The sequence below is a fragment of the Homo sapiens genome, chromosome 21, assembly GCF_000001405.40.
Source record: "Homo sapiens chromosome 21, GRCh38.p14 Primary Assembly".
Taxonomy (NCBI): domain Eukaryota; kingdom Metazoa; phylum Chordata; class Mammalia; order Primates; family Hominidae; genus Homo; species Homo sapiens.
Window position 1 is genome coordinate 15,487,490 of NC_000021.9, and position 1,231 is coordinate 15,488,720.

Consider the following 1,231-nt stretch of genomic DNA (forward strand, 5'->3'; position numbering starts at 1 on the left):
AATGTATGATTAAAAGAAAAAGACAAATGGCCAGAAAAAAGATTTGAAGGTAAAAATTTACTTGGATTGTATAGTTTGATTTGCAAGAATACCAGACTTGGTTTAATAATTACTGGATAGTAATTATAGACACAAATATGTAATAGGTAATATTTAATTAATGTGTTGTAAGATGATAATCTGATAAATTCACTGAGTTCATTTCATTTGCTTTTGTGACAAACATAAATCCTAATTCACAACTCTGGGATACTTAAATAGTCCAAAATGCAAAACTAACAAGAACGAGACAATATTAAGTTCCTTTATATACATTTTCTAATTACCACAAATATTGACCTCTGACTTCAGCCTATATTCAAAATGAGACGCCAACATCTTAAAAGCTTAATATGTCTATCAGATGTCACAATTATACTTTAAATATTTTGGTGCTAAATATTTAAATATTTGGTTTTCTAATTATTCTTTAAATCATTGGTGCAAAATAGAAAACAGAGTACTCAATTTCAACATATCTTTTTTCCCCCAAATTATCTGAATTAATCATTTGGATAATATCAGATCCAATTGATAGTCTCATTAGATGGCATCACTGAAGAAGTGACTCTGTCGCAGCTAGGAAGACCCCATTGCCAATCACCTTGCAAGTAGCAGTCACTGTAATTCCATACGGTTCCTGAGACAGTGTGAATGAAAATGAACATGCATTGCGCTTCTTCTATTTTGTCCTCCCAGGGATTAATATATTTTACTGGTTCTTACAATATCCTTATAAGTTAGGTACTACTCTTTTCCCAAAGCTTACAAATAATTCAATGAAGGCATAAAAAGCTTAAATAACCTATAAACAATCATACTACTCCAAAGGAATGAAGCTGAGATTTAAGCCTAGATATATTATCTATTGCTGCATAACAGATTCTTCCAAAACTTAGTGGCTTAACACAATAGCATTTACTATTTCACAATTCCTTGTAGCTTCTCTGGGTCCTCTGGCTCTGAGTTGCTTACTAGGAGAAAATCACAGACACCCCAGTGCTCTATTGAGAGTGGATCCGCTTCCAAGCCCATATAGTTGTTGGCAGGATTCTGTTCCTCGCTGGCTATTGGAGTGAAGGCCTCAATTCCTTGCAGGCTGTTGCCTGGAGGCTGCCCTTGTGCGCTCTCCATGGGGTGGCTCAGAACATGGCAGCTGGCTTCCAGAATGAGCCAACAAGACAGCCCCAGA

At 35.5% G+C, this 1,231-nt stretch overlaps 1 annotated feature.

The window, feature by feature from the left end:
- Positions 922-1,130: a silencer, noted in NCBI's record as "fragment chr21:16860730-16860938 (GRCh37/hg19 assembly coordinates)". NCBI's record gives its function as "represses an EF-1alpha promoter that drives an FKBP-Casp9 reporter gene in an ReSE screen in phorbol 12-myristate 13-acetate-treated (for megakaryocytic differentiation) K562 erythroleukemia cells {active_cell/tissue: K562(+PMA)}" and the evidence as "EXISTENCE:reporter gene assay evidence [ECO:0000049][PMID:32094911]".